Genomic DNA, 15,114 nt, shown 5'->3' with positions numbered 1-15,114 from the left:
GCCATGCTCGACTAATTTTAAAAAATATTTTTTGTAGAGATGGGGTCTCACTATGTTGCCTATGCTGGTCTCAAACTCTTGGGCTGAAGCGATCCTCTCTCCTCAACTTCCCAAAGTGCTGGGATTAGAGGTGGGAGCCACTGCGCCCACGTTTTATTCAGTTTCCTTTAAGCAACAATTAAACATTGCTGACTAAGAGAATATAATAGAATAAAACATGTCTCTTGCTATTCTAGTATGCTGATGTCTCAAGATTATCAATTTCCTCTGTATGCAAATACATATGATGTAAATGTTTCCCACAGTGATTAGCTTCATTGTTATTTTGCAGAAGTGTTTCAGATGGACTTGCTATACCACCATTTCCATTGGAAAACCAAGAGAAGGATGAGACAATCTTATTAAAAGTATTTTAGGGCCAAGCAAGGTGGCTTATGCCTATAATCCCAGCACTTTGGGAGGCCGATGCAGGTGGATCACGAGGTCAGGAGTTCAAGACCAGCCTGGCCAACATAGTGAAACCCCGTCTCTACTAAAAATACAAAAAAAAAATTAGCCGGGTGTGGTGGTGGGCGCCTGTAATCCCAGCTACGTGGGAGGCTGAGGCAAGGAGAATCACTTGAACCTGGAGGTTCAAGTGGAGGTTGCAGTGAGCTGAGACTGCGCCACTGCACTCCAGCCCGCACAATAGTGCAAGACTCTGTCTCAAAATAAATAAATAAATAAATAAATAAATAAAAAGTATTTTAGTTTTCTGAGCGCTAAATGTCCTTGGGTATGAATTAAGACAAACTTACCATATTTTTCCCCATGGCTATTTTACTGAATAGTGCTGAGGTTTATATTGTCTGACCTTCCTTCCTGACCCTAAACTTCTCTCAGGAGTGTGGAGAAGCTTTGCATGGAAATGAGAATCCTCTTAAGCCTTTTATTCATTTTTCTCCTCAAGACTTTAGTAACCCAAGAAGAAATACAAATAAGATATTCAAGAGGGTGACCCCAAAGTTTTGATCTGCATTGCTGCTGCCAATATAAACACTCCTTCTGTCTACAGGAAATCAATCTTCCTTTTTTTTTTGTTTTTGAGACAGAGTCTCACTCTGTTGCCCAGGTTGGAGTGCAGGGGCACAATCTTGGCTCACTGCAATCTCCACTTCTCTGGTTCAAGCAATTATTGTGCCTTAGCTTCCTGAGTAGCTGGGATTACAGGCATGTACCACCACGCCCAGCTAATTTTTGTATTTTTTGTAGAGACAGGGTTTCACCATATTGGCCAGGCTGGTCTCAAACTCCTGGTCTCAAGTGATCTTCCCACCTTGGCCTCCCAAAGTGCTGAGATTACAAGCATGAGCCATCGTGCCTAGTCAAGAAATTAGTCTTTCTATAAACTCTTATACCTCCCAGAAGATGCCCCTTCTGAATCTATGCAAATCCACAAGCGTAATGAAAAAAGAAGTAAATCACTCGGCTGCTTCTGAATATGCATCATACCCATGTTAGGAAAACAGAGACAGGTTCTTGTGACACAAAGCTGCAGTTGAATGAAATGCCATTTCAGATCAGATTCGGTCTGTGGCAATTCTGATTTCAAGGTTTTGTGTGACACCAATAGTGCTCTATATGTGTTATGAGCTCCAGAGACCGTTGTTAAAGCTGTTAAAATAAACTGAGGTTTAGTCCAGAATTTAACAAATTAGTCCATTTATTTGAGATTTTGTTTCCTTTCAAGCCTTTATTCTGGGGATATAAAAATGAAAATATGTGCCTTGTTAACCATATAGAAGGAAAAATGCTAGTATCAAAGACCAAAGCAGTCTTCTCGGTGAACATCCCCACCCCACAGCCTCTTCTCATGTACAACAAACCCTACTCTTCTCTCCTGCCTAGTGATCTTCAGGTGCTTAGAGCCAAATTTTAGACAATTAGTAATCCATATGAAACACCCTCACTTCTGATAAATCCTGGGGTGGTTTGTGAATATCAATTATGCCTTCCTTACTTAATCTTAATAGATGACAATTCTGGCTGTCATAAGAAGATAAAAATGAGCCTCAGCTATTCTAAATAGGTAAGGAATGAATTAAAGAAAAGAGAAGAGAGAAGTGAGAGAAGTCAGTTGGCCAGTATCATTGTTGTTTGTTTTTTTGGTTAATGTCCATTTTGAATCAGGGCTAATATTTAGGCCTTGAACTGCACATTCACAGCCCATGTCACCCAGAAGGTGAAATAAGCAGTGAGGCAAATCACGTGGTTCAATAATCTCAAGAAATGAAGAAATGTACCAGCAGGATTCTTAGGGGAAATTCACTTGTGGACAGATAGTGTGCTTACCACCAGCCACTCTTGTCTTTGACTATTACAGTCAGCTCTCCATATCCATGGGTTCTGCATCCGTGGATTCAACCAACCATGGATAAAAAGGTATTCGGAAAAAAAATAAAACTAATGTACATTTAAAAATACAGTATAACAATACTTTCTATAGCATTTATACAACTCTAGGTATTATAAGTAATCTAGAGATGATTTAAAGTATTCAGGAGGATATACAAGGCTGTGTACAAATACTATGCCATTTTATAAGCAGGACATGAGCATCTGTGGATTTTGGTATCTGCAAGGGGTCCTGGGACTAATCTGTCATGGATACAGAGGAACAACTATAGTGTATCGCCCTCAGGTGATGATCAATCTTGGTATTGCCTTTTGCAAAACATCCCATAATGGCTACTTTCCTCCCCAAATTCTCTGTGAATCACCACTACATGTAAGGGCAGCAGCTAGGAAATACTGTTTTGTTTGATCTTGCTCTGCAGAAAAATCAATCACAGACATTTAAAGCTATCGAGGCTCTTTGAACTGATTCAGTCCCATCTCTTCCTCTAAAGGTAAGATGGGCAAGGCTCAAAGGGGCAAAATGACATTTTCCAAGGTGGCCTCATTTGTTAGACCTGTTCTTCTTTATTGCTGGATTTGTATTCGTCAAAGGCAACTCTTCTACTTTTGACAAAATTGTGAGACTTCCCAGGAAAGAATGCTGTTCCTCATTGTGGCATTGAGGAATGGATAGAAAAATATAATTAAAATGTCTGGGATTACCAAAATATGGGTTCCCCCTTTGGGAAATGCCTGAGTCCTATCACAATCCACTAACAAGTCAACTGCTTTAATGATTTAGTTCATGTTACCTTGGCTCTTCTACAAAGTAGAAAAATAGGTGATTAAAACATGTTTCATCCATTCAGAATTGCATGCAAGTAAAATTATGCATATATGGGAAACATAAGAAAATGGTATTGGGCTGGACATGGTGGCTCACACCTATAATCCCAGCATTTTGGGAGGTTGCAGTGGGAGGACTGCTTGAGCCCAGGAGTTTGAGACCAGCCTAGGCAACAAAGTCTCTACAAAAACAAACAAACAAACAAAACCACCCCAAACAAAAAACTACAATTAACCGCACATGGAGGGGCACACCTGTAGTCCCAGCTGCTTGAGAGGCTGAGGCGGGAGGATCCCTTGAGCCCAGGAATTTGAGGTGGCAGTGAAATATGATAGGGCCACTGCCCTTCTGCCTGGGTGACAAAGTGAGACCCTATCTCAAGAAAAAGACAGACAGACAGACAGACAGAAAGAAAGAGGAAAGAGAGAGGGAGGGAGGGAGGGAAGAGAAAGAGAGAGAGAAAGAAAAAGAAAGGAAGGAAGGAAGGAAAAGAAAGAAAGGAAAAAGGAAGGAAGGAAAAAGGAAAGAAGGGAAGGGAGGAAATTGTATTGTATATCTTAATCTTCAGACACTATCAAAGCATTGTGCCATGATATTGATCCAAGACAAGAACACACAATACAGTTCATACTGTCAAAAAATCACTAGGATTTTTCTAAAGCCATACATTTTTTTTCTCTCTTTAAGAAACTCCATAATAGAAATGCGTTCTCGAAAAGCATGATTTTCTAGTAAATGCAAGACATTTATATAAACAAAAAATAATCATAAATGCTTCTATCTAGGAAGGCTTGGTAAATAATATGTAGATTGCTAGTTCCTATTGTAGGAGAAAAATGCACATCAGCCCACAGAACAATTAAGAACACTTACTAGGAGTTTGTGTTCATACGGACACTTCTGGTACAAAATGGAAAACTTTGTAATATCTGCCTTCCATTGTTTCCCCAGACATCTGGAACCATGGCTGTCTTTCTGCCTTAGCTGCCACTTGTCCTAGCATCCTTCCATGTTCAAGCTCTCTGAGTCTATTTCTTAACCAGGTTCACCTTGCTGCATCTTTTTGCATGTCAAAATCCGCTTATTTCAGTCTACTATTTCTTTACTTATGCTTCTAGTCCTTTGCCCATTGTCACCAGAGGAAGCATATTACTAAGTTTACCACTTGCCTGTAATGAAAGATGTGAATGACCTGATAAAGCTCAGCAGAGGTTTATGAAGAGGCAAAAGACAAATGGAAAGGCTCGGACATTTAGCATAAAGACAGACACCCAGGCTGGGTGTGGTGGCTCATGCCTATAATGCCAGCACTTTGGGAAGCCAAGGTGGGAGAACTGCTTGAGACCAGGAAGTTTGAGAGTTTGATACCAGCCTGGGAAATCCTATCTCTACAAAAATGAAATTAAGAAAAAAATTAGCTGGGCATGGTGGCATCCACTTGTAGTCCTAGCTACTTGGGAGGCTAAGATGGAAGGATGGCTTGAGCCCAGGGGGTCAAGATTGCAATGCAATGAGTTATAATCACATCACTGCACTCCAGCCTGGGTGATAGAGCAAGACCCTGACTCAGAAAAAAAAAAAAGACATACTTTCTAAGATACTCATAGTTGTTGTATCCAACACTTCTTCCTTGGGTAGTTATTAAACTTCACAGAATACAAAGACTCACTTTTTCCCAAGTTTGGAATCCACCACCTACCTTGATTAGACTAGTTTAAGGTAATCTTGACAGTACTCTGAAAAACAGTTGATTCAATGGAAGCTGCTTTTAATGGCATGTCCTCAATACATCTATTTCTAAATCTTTATTTTTTCTTAGTTAAGCATATGCTATATAGAGTACACTATTTGTGGTACATGGTGAACTAAGACTTTTGGCCCAATCACAGGCTTTATGAAATGGCATCAAAGAGCATCTGAAAATTTTTAAAAAGGGAAAACAACTGGACTTTCGAATATCTCAGAAGCCACTTGGTTTTCTCTTGCAAGCCTTTCCTTCCAGGGACTTCCATTGTTCTGCGCCCTGAGTGAAGTGTTTCACTTTTTCCCTGTAGTGGAAATAAGCAACAACAGAGCTGCTTTGTGAACCAGAAAGTCATGAAGCCTTTCCAAATGAGGAGGATGTGGGAAGTGCCAAAGAGCCAGAGGGGCCAGGCAGAAGAAGAATGGGCCTGACTTCCTTTAGCTCATAATGAAGGTAATTCTTTGAGTCCAGGCTCAGGTAAACCTGCAGAAGGAAGACAGTCTTTGAATCTAAGCAGAAGAGGGTCAGTGTTTAGGTGGAGAAAAGCAAACACTCTTCTCCCTCTGGACAGCTACATCTGCCTGTGTTGCACCAGATGTGGAGCAGCTGTGTGTTCTCCCAGATGATAGTCAGATGGAAATGATGGAGAAAGAAATCACATTCTGTATGCTTCAGGAATAGAAAACAGGATTAATCCTTATTTGCATGACACATTAGTGAGATAAAGTCTTTTTTATCTCTATTTTGAATGGAAAAAAATAACTATCATTTATGAAGCACTGACCTTCATAAATGAAGCACTAACCTAGGAGCTTTAAATATGCTTTATTTTGAATTCTCACATCAATTCTGTGATACGGTTAAGATATTTTCTCACATTTATGAGAAAATCGAGTACCAGAGTTGAAGGTCAGAAACTGGTAAAATCTAGTCTAGAACTCAAGGTCACTAATGTCTTTTCCCTGATGTTCGGCCTTGGCACCTACTGTTAGCATTACATTTCTAATTTATTGTTGAAAAACCAGGTTGAGTTTTTGAATGGCCTCTGTTGAGACTCCAGAGTAAAGCTTCTCTTTGAGATCTTTGAAGAGTCTTGAAAGCAGAGAAATTGTCTAGATATTTTTTAATTTTTAAAATTATTATTATTATTTTAAAGACAGCATCTCACTATGTCTCCCAGACTGGAGTGCAGTGGTGCGATCATAGCTCACTGCAGCCTCAAACTCCTGGGGTTGAGGGTTCCTTTTGCCTCAACCTTCAGAGTAGCTAGGACTACAGGCATGCACCACCACACCTGGTGGCTAATTTTTGGAAGTTTTGGAGACAGGGTCTTACCATGTTGCCTAGGCTGCAAACTGTCTACATAGTGACATCAAAGAGTGACAGGAAGGCTAGCACGTTCCCAGGTATATAAAATAATTGACTCATAGAGCTCAGTCTGTGCTTCCAGCAGCTTGGATGGTTGCTACCACGGAGATGGTACAAACAGCAAGCAGGCAGGATGAATGCCAGGACGTTTGCATCTGGTTGTTCATAGAAACATAACCTAAAACATGTACCAACAAAAACTATCAGGGAAAGTGCCTAATTTCAAACCTATAACTATTCTCTTAATCTCTGAGCATGAGAACACTAAGGTCTTTTCTCTTTATATATTTAATACCAATATCTAAAACTGAAAAGCAAAGCTATTAACTAACAAAAGAATAAGTATACTGACGAAAATTTGCCAAATTTGCCTGAATTTAACTGTAATTAATGAGTGTGCTTTTCAGAATATGAGAAGAAAAGATCTTTTCTAATAAATACACAATTCTATGTCAAATTCTGTTTCTCAATTTTTTGCTTTGTGAAAACCTTCAATTTAAAACCAGCATAGCCGTGTTCAGGCAAGTCTGAATATACGTAATATCTTCATGTAATCTCAATGAAAGAAATACTCAGCCCTTCGTTTTAATTAATAATACCATATAATACAAAGATGGCATACATGTTGGTGAACTACTGCATTTCATCCTCTGTCTAGATGGTTCACTGAGTCACAGTCTTGATGAGTTTGTGACATCATAATTCATCACCATGGAAACAACTATGATGATGTGTTACCCTGCGGACCCTTAGTCATCAATCAGTTTGATTGATGACTCTGCTATGTTCAGCTAAATCAAGTTGACTTACACGTTCACAAATTAAAAACTGCTCTCTGTAGTATATAGCATGATGACCAAAAATAATGACTGTTTTAAAAATATGATCAAATTAAAGACACAGAAATAATCATTCATAATCCTGCCATTATACAAATCACTTCTTGGCTGGGTGTACTGGCTCACACCTGTAATCCCAGCATTTTGGGAGGCCGAGGTGGGCAGATCACTTGAGCCCAGGAGTTCAAGACCAGCTAGGGAAACAAAACATAGTGACACTCCATATCTACCAAAAAGAAAAGAAAAGAAAATTAGCCGGGTGCTATGGTTTGACTCTGTGTCCACAACCAAACCTCATCTAGAATTGTAGTCCCCACATGTCAGGGGAGGTGCCTGGTGGGAGATGATTGAATGATGGGGGCAGACTTCCCCCTTGCTATTATCATGACAGTGAGTTATCTCGAGATCTGATGGTTTAAAAGTGTGTGACAGTTCCCCTCTCACTCTCTCTCTCTCCTGCCACCTTGTAAGAGGTGTTTTGCATCCTGTTTGTCTTCCGCCATGATTGTAAGTTTCCTGAGGCCTCCCCAGCCAGGAGGAACTCTGAATCAATTTAACCTGCTTTCCTAATAAATTACACATGCTCAGGTAGTTCTTTACAGCAATGTGAAAATAAACTAATATACCAGGTGTGGTGGGGTGCACCTGTGGTCTCAGCTACTGGAGGGGTTGAGGTGGGAGGATGAGGATTGCTTGAGCCCAGAAGATCAAGGCTGCAGTAAGCCATGATCACACCACTGTACTCCAGCCTGGGCCATAGAGTGAGACCCTGCCTCAAAAAAAAAAAAAAAAATCACTTATTCGATTTTTTAGTAGTTAATTATAATTTTTGCTCTAGGGTAGATTCAATTTTTATATAATTATAAACTCAAGACATAATTTTAATATTATAAGCAGTTTCTTATAGTGCTATTTAGCTAATATGATGTTTTGTTAAGTTCTGATGTATTTTGAAAATAGCCTGTAATGTCCAAAGAAATAGCATCTGGTTTGCAAAATAGGGTTTGGGGAGCAAAGGTCGAGATTGTGACAGTGTTCTGACTGTGGCTTGTGAAGGGACATACAAGTTATTTTATTTTACTTCTTCAGGTTTCACTAGAGAAATTAAAGCCTTATCTTTCTTTTTCATCAAAAGGCAGTTAAGATTTAGAAAACAAGACTGTCATGATCTTCCTGGAATAAAACTGCCAAATAAAAATTTAGATGTAATCCAGTAAAATGTAAGTCCCTGAAGCAAAGAAATGACAAATTATGAGTTTTGTATCCTCATTCCTCAGTACAGAGTACGTTTTTAACAAATGTTTATTTGAAGTAAATGTACAACTAAAGATTAGAGCAAAAAATAACTGTTAACTAATTTATAATTTAGGAATCTGTTCAAATTACTTTGTGATTTTTAAACTTATATGACATTAGTGGAGATGGATCTGTGAATATGTAAAATGATTTTACATTATCTAGGACAAGTTTTTCTATCAAAAGACATTTAGGTATTTGGTTGCCAATTAAGTATAAAAAGTTATTTTTATCAAAATTAAAAGCTCTTGCCTTGTGGAAAAAAACAGTAAAGAGAATAAAAAAGACAAGCTATGGACTGGGAGAAAATATTTGTAAATCACATATCCGACAAAGGACTGCTATCAAGAATATATACAGAACTCTTAAAACTCAACAGTCAAAAAACAATCTAATTAGAAAATAGGCAACAGGAACAGAGAAGCATTTCACTAAAGAAGATATACAGATGCAAATAAGCCTATGAAAAGATGTTCAACATCATTAGCCACTAAAGAAATGCAAAGTAAAACCAAAATGAGCTATCACTATGCACTGATCATAATGGCTAAAATAAAAAAAGTAACACCACCAAATGCTGGTGAAGATACAGAAAAACAATTGCTGTCACATTGCTGGTAGGAATATAAAATGGCACATCTAATTTTGGAAAATATTTTGTTGGTTTCTTAAAAACACTAAACATGCAATTACTATCAGATCTAGAAATCACACTCATTCCTAGGCATTTATCTCAGAGAAATGAAAATGTATGTTTACACAAAAATCTGTGTATGAGTATTTATAGCAGCTTTATTTATAATCTCCCCAAACTAGAAACAACCCAAGTATCTTTCAATGGGTAAATGGCTCAACATCCCTAGCATGAAATACTATGCAGCGATAACAAAGAATGAACTACTAGTACACAAGCACCTAGATAAATCTCCAGAGAAGTATGCTAAGTAAAGAATCTCCAAAGAATTATGCTGATTGGAAAAAACCAATACCTGAAAGTTATATACTCTATGGTTCCATTTATATAACATGCTTGAAATGACAAAATGTTAATTATTGCCAGGGTTTTAAGGTGAGGGTGGGCAAAGGAAGTAGACGTAGCTACAAAAGGGCTAAGCACAGGGGATGCCTGGATGAAAATGTTCTGTATCTTGATTGTATCAGTGTCAATATCAAAGTTGTGCTATTGTGCGATAGTTTTCAAGATGTCACCATTGGAGGAAACTGGGTAAAAAGTATTGTTTGCATTATTTCTTATAGCTGCATGTGAATCTACAATTACCTCAAAATACAAAGTTTAATAAAAAATTACTTTTAAAGAAGACACTGTTTTAAAATTTATTAAGTTATGGTTTCCACAAACAACATAATATCTGAATATATTAACTATCAAAAGTATCTATCTTTTTGCTGAGAGGCATTTACTATTGGGTGGAATGTAGCTCACCAGTTATAATAAATAATATCAAAAGAAATGTATTTCCATCAGATATGTCCTACTGAAAACATAGTATAAAATAATGATACTAGTAAGAAAGGATGGTGTTATGTTGGTAATTAAAATTCTGAATTTTAAGGACCATCTTCATGGATAAGAACCTCAAAATTACAACTCCACATTCATAATGCAGTAGTAAGGTATTTTGCAAGCTCTTCCTTCCACTCTCCCTAATGCTTGTTTTTGTGAAAACCAGTCATGAAATGAAGGAAACTTCCGGTCTGGCTCTGGTGTGAGATTCTCGAGTTTATTTGCCCATCAACAAGCATTTCTTTAGAGCTGATCATAGAGCCAGGCTTCATGCTGCGCATTGGAGGCAAGACAGAGGTAAACATGACCTATCCTTTCTGTCAAGGAATTCTGCACATAAAGGAGGGAGGAATACTTCCTTAGTAATAGACTTTTACAATATAAGGTGGTGAGTGCAATGACAAAAACAAACAAACAAACAAAAACAAACAAACAAAAAAAACACTAAAGGAGGCACACAGGAGTGACACTGAGTTCAGAGGAGGCATTGGGGGAAGCTGCGGGAATGGAGGGTTTTTCAAGACTACCTAGGCTATGGACAATGAATAGGTAGGTAGGTAGGTAGGTGTTAGCAAGGTTAAAAACAAAATAGTCTAGACTTAAATTCCAAGTCTAAGTGAGTTTAGGAAGTGGAAGATCCCCTGATATGGCTTAAAAATGGGCCAAATATCTCTCCCATTGATCCCCACACAATATTATGATGAGTAGGTGCAAAGGCATAAACAGTCCCAAACATCTTGGTGACCTGCCTGGCCAGGAAACATTGGGAGAGTTGTAATGGGGATTGGTGCTGAGTATGGCATAGTGCATCAGAGATTTTTTAAATTGTGTGTGTGTGTGTGTGTGTGTATGTGTGTATACTTGACCATGTAAAACCCAGTTATGCACTGTGACACTGACATCTTTATCTTTAAAACTTTTAAGTATTTTAACCATTTTTTATACTATGAAGCACTATAAGATCTAAGTAACCAGAAGCTTCAAGCAAAGAATAGAAACATACAATATTTGTATAATGTTCTATGTTCATTCACATGGATCCAATGCACACAGTTTCATCTTGACAGACCAACGACAGCCTAATAGATGACTGCTTTACATAGAAAAAGACCTGGCATAACTCTGTCCAAGAAAGACTGTTATCTCAGTGATGGGACTCATGCTTAATTTAGCAATTGAAGATGAAGTAGGAAAGGATAAATCTGAATCTGAAGATTCCTTTACAAATCATTGGTTGGAGAAATCAAAAGGTTACTGGATAACTATAAAGCCAACTTAAGCTCCTAATCCTTTCAAAAGCAAATTATTTGTTGAAAACTTAAGGAATGAAGATTGAGGAATAAAATGAAAGTATACACTCTGATATGGTTTGGCTGTGTTCCCATCTGAATCTCATCTTGAATTGTAGCTCCCATAATTCCCATGTGTTGTAGGAGGGACCTGGTGGAAGACAGTTGAATCATGGGGGTGGTTTCCCTCACACAATACTCGTGGTAGTGAATAAGTCTCACTAGATCTGATGGCTTTATAAGGTGTTTTCCCTTTTGCTTTGCTCTCATTCTCTCTTGCCTGCTGCCATGTAAGATGTGCCTGTCACTTTCCACCATGCTTGTGAGGTCTTCCCAGCCATGTGGAACTGTGAGTTCATTAAACCTCTTTTTCTTTATAAATTACCCAGTCTCAGGTATGTCTTTATCAGCAGTGTGAGAAGTGATTAATACACACTCCTGGTGAATGTATAAGGTTAGGACTTATTTCAGATTTCAAAGAATGGAAAATGGTAGATGAATATACCCTATGAAAGGAATCTGCATTTTGAAGAATAAAAAACATTTTACCAATAAAATCTTACTATAGAAGTACTGGCATATATCAATTAAAATAAATGACAGGTAAACATAACTATATTAGGATGTACATCCTATATTAGGATCCTAAGATACATCCAGAATTATTGAAAAATAAATATTTATGAATTTTATTGACTTCTAGTTCTTTAGAACTTTGAAGTAACTTGATTTTATTTTATATTTTTAATGCTAAAAAATATTGCCTGGTAACGTTTTTGCTGTGGACAGAGACTTCTTTACTTACAAATGTAAAACACTGACGTTTGTGGATTATTAACCAGACACATTTATAGAACTACCTATGCAGCTAATATTATGACCACAAATACAATAGCTCACTAGTGCTCCAGTAACAGCAGAAGGGACCTATATGAAATACTTGGATTATGCAAAATTCTATTCTCTAACTCTGCTAGCCAACAAAGAATTGTTTTGGTCAGTCAACTGGGGAGGTCTCAACAATTACCCTACACAAAGCCTCTAATTCATTGACTTGAGCTATTACCATATTTGTGAACTTTCCCTTCCTTCAGTTTGGCTAAAGGTGCTCTTAAATATAAATCTCCCTCGTTATTGGGAAGAAATTTTTTGAGAACTCTTTTGTGATATGTGGACACCTTGGCCCACCTAACCAATAGGCAAACCAATGGGACTCTGGGGTTGCCATGATGATAGCTTCCAGATCCAGAGCCAAAAGTGAATCTAGAAAGGATCTGATTTAAAAGGCATTTATGGAAATATCTGCCTCCCATTGTGCCTATCTGCCATCTTTCTTCACCTATCCCAATTTTTAACAATTAGACTAAACCATAGGCATAGTGTCTCCAGAAGGCCACTGTTAAAAATCCACCTGGGAAAACATGGTGATTACATTTGTCCCTCAGGTATCCATGGGATGTTGGTTCCAGGACCCCTGCCTCCATATCAAAATCTGCAGATGCTCAACTCCCTGACATAAAATAGCATATTTGCATATAACCTATGCACATCCTTCCATATACTTTACATGGTCTCTACATTACTTACAATACCCAATATGATATAAATACTATGTTGTATTGTTTTTATTTGTATTATTTTAAATTTTTTTTTTCAAATATTTTCTCTCTTCAACTGGTTGAATCTGGAAATGTAGAATCCCCAGATATGGGAGGGCTGATTATACTGGCAATCTCCTGTAAGTTATTTTGGCAATCTCTTTAAATTATCTTGTCAAATTAAGTAATTGTTACTTTGGGAAGCACAGAGTGCCTGGAATGGAGGCTCTGGGCTTCTTTCACTGGTGAATAGGGAAGAGAATAAACCTGTGCACCTCTGAAGCTGGCTCCAGAGGGCTGTAACTCCCAGTGGTGGGTCCCGATCTGGGCTTCTGGGGCATTAAGAGTTCAGTTATTCGGGGCATCCTAAACCATTTGATTCCAGTCTGTCACATGTAAAGTATAGGAGCATGTGCATATTACTTTTCTGAATCCTAATGTTTTAAATTTATAAAGTCTGGATAATCCTACATATTTTTCACAGGCATTGTTAGTATTAAAAGGCAGAACAATGCTTTTAGCACTCAGCATAGTACCTGAAAATATTTCCTGAATAAATAACATATATACAACGTTTAGCTCAGTACTGTACCCAATTCATGGAAGTTTTTCAATAGTTAAAACTTGAAGTCTAAGTTTTTTATTTTATTTTATTTTATTTTATTTTATTTTGAGATGGAGTCTCATTCTGTCGCCAGGCTGGGGTGCAGTGGTGTGATCTTGGCTCACTGCAAACTCTGACTCCCTGGTTCAAGTGATTCTCCTGCCTTAGCCTCCCAAGTAGCTGGGATTACAGGCACGTGCCACCACGCCCAGCTAATTTTTGTATTTTTAGTAGAGATGGGGTTTCACCATGTTGGCCAGGATAGTCTTGATCTCCTGACCTCAGGATCCGCCCACCAAGGCCTCCCAAAGTACTGGGATTACAGGTGTGAAGTCTAAGTTTTACTGTGAGGTATATTCTGAAAACTGCCCAGTTATCATGCATGGGGAAGGCCACAAACCTTTCAGTTCAAGGAAGAAAAAATATTTATGCTATGAGAAATATTTCCTACTCCTGGTGAGGTTTAGGATGTGTCAAAGCGTTAGTCCTACTGAGACTGAAAATTTTATACCAGTAGGAAAGAGGGGTGAATTCTAACATCCATTTAGAGCTGCATAGATGAGAATTGTTTCTGTGTTGCCGGGCACCGAAACAATACCCTTTACAAGACAGAACATTTCCTACTTATCTGCTACACACATTTAGCTTTTTCTATTTTGGTCCATTATTAATCTATAATTATTCTCTTTTGTGGAATTGAGAAATCACAGCAGGAGGTTACATTGCTTAAAGAATTAATTATTTCCCGAACAAGGAAAATTGGAAAAAATACAAGCCCAAAAGGGAAAAGTTCCTTCCCATTTCCTGAGGCATGCTAAGAAGTCCACAATTAGCTCGGTTTCTAATAGTTTCCACAGATCTGCTACTGGACATACCTAGTTTTTCCTCCAGGAGCCTGCTATCCATAATCTCTCCCCTGCCCTTTTGGGATTCTGTCACCTCTTTGCTAACTGGAGGGTGTCGAAGTGAGTTGGAACTTCCTTTAGAGCCTTGCATTTCTCTTTCATTCTGATATTTTCCTGATGTCTCATCACTTGTTCCTTCCATTTGATGCAATGCTGCCTAGTTCTCAAACACAGATGAGAGGAAACAGGGCCCCAGTATGTCCTACCCAGCCCACTGGAATTTTTACCACCCAGCACAATGACTGTCCAAGTCAAAATAGCTGTGGGGCAGATAGTATGTGCCATGTGCAAGAGCCCCTGCCCTGACCTCACCTCTTGGCACTCACTCAGATAAACAGGCAGAGTTGTACACTATAACTAGAAACATGACAAATACACAGTCATCAAACTCTTCCCACTTCCCTTTGACCTATAATGGTAAACTAAATTTAATCATTGTGTAATTGACCACCATTTAAAAGCTTTTGCTCCACCCGAATGCGACTTGCTGAAAAATAGATCTAAGATCATCCTGAGAAGGGCAGACTGCACTTCGTTGTGATATTAAATACAGTGTGATTGGCTGGGTGCGGTGGCTCACACCTGTAATCCCAGCCCTTTGGGAGGCAGGAGGATTGCTTGAGTAAAAGGAGTTCGAGACCAGCCTGGGCAACATGGTGGAAACCCTGTCTCTACTAAAAAATACAAGTGCACACCTGTAGTCCCAGCTACTCTGGAGCCTGA

The 15,114-nt window shown here is 38.4% G+C and overlaps 1 protein-coding gene and 1 long non-coding RNA gene across 11 annotated transcripts in view; both read right to left on the bottom strand.

Moving 5' to 3' along the window:
* NRG1 (neuregulin 1) overlaps nt 1-15,114 on the bottom strand; it is a 1,134,802-nt gene that overhangs the window by 326,308 nt on the left and 793,380 nt on the right. The window lies entirely within an intron of this gene.
* NRG1-IT3 (NRG1 intronic transcript 3) lies at nt 5,014-6,993 on the bottom strand. The gene is made up of 3 exons (NR_047475.1): nt 6,958-6,993; nt 6,303-6,513; nt 5,014-5,271 (listed from the first exon to the last, which is right to left on the bottom strand). It is a non-coding gene; the product is annotated as an NRG1 intronic transcript 3 (long non-coding RNA).

Source organism: Homo sapiens, chromosome 8, assembly GCF_000001405.40.
Source record: "Homo sapiens chromosome 8, GRCh38.p14 Primary Assembly".
NCBI classification, from domain to species: domain Eukaryota; kingdom Metazoa; phylum Chordata; class Mammalia; order Primates; family Hominidae; genus Homo; species Homo sapiens.
This window is presented reverse-complemented; position numbering and strand designations above follow the sequence as displayed.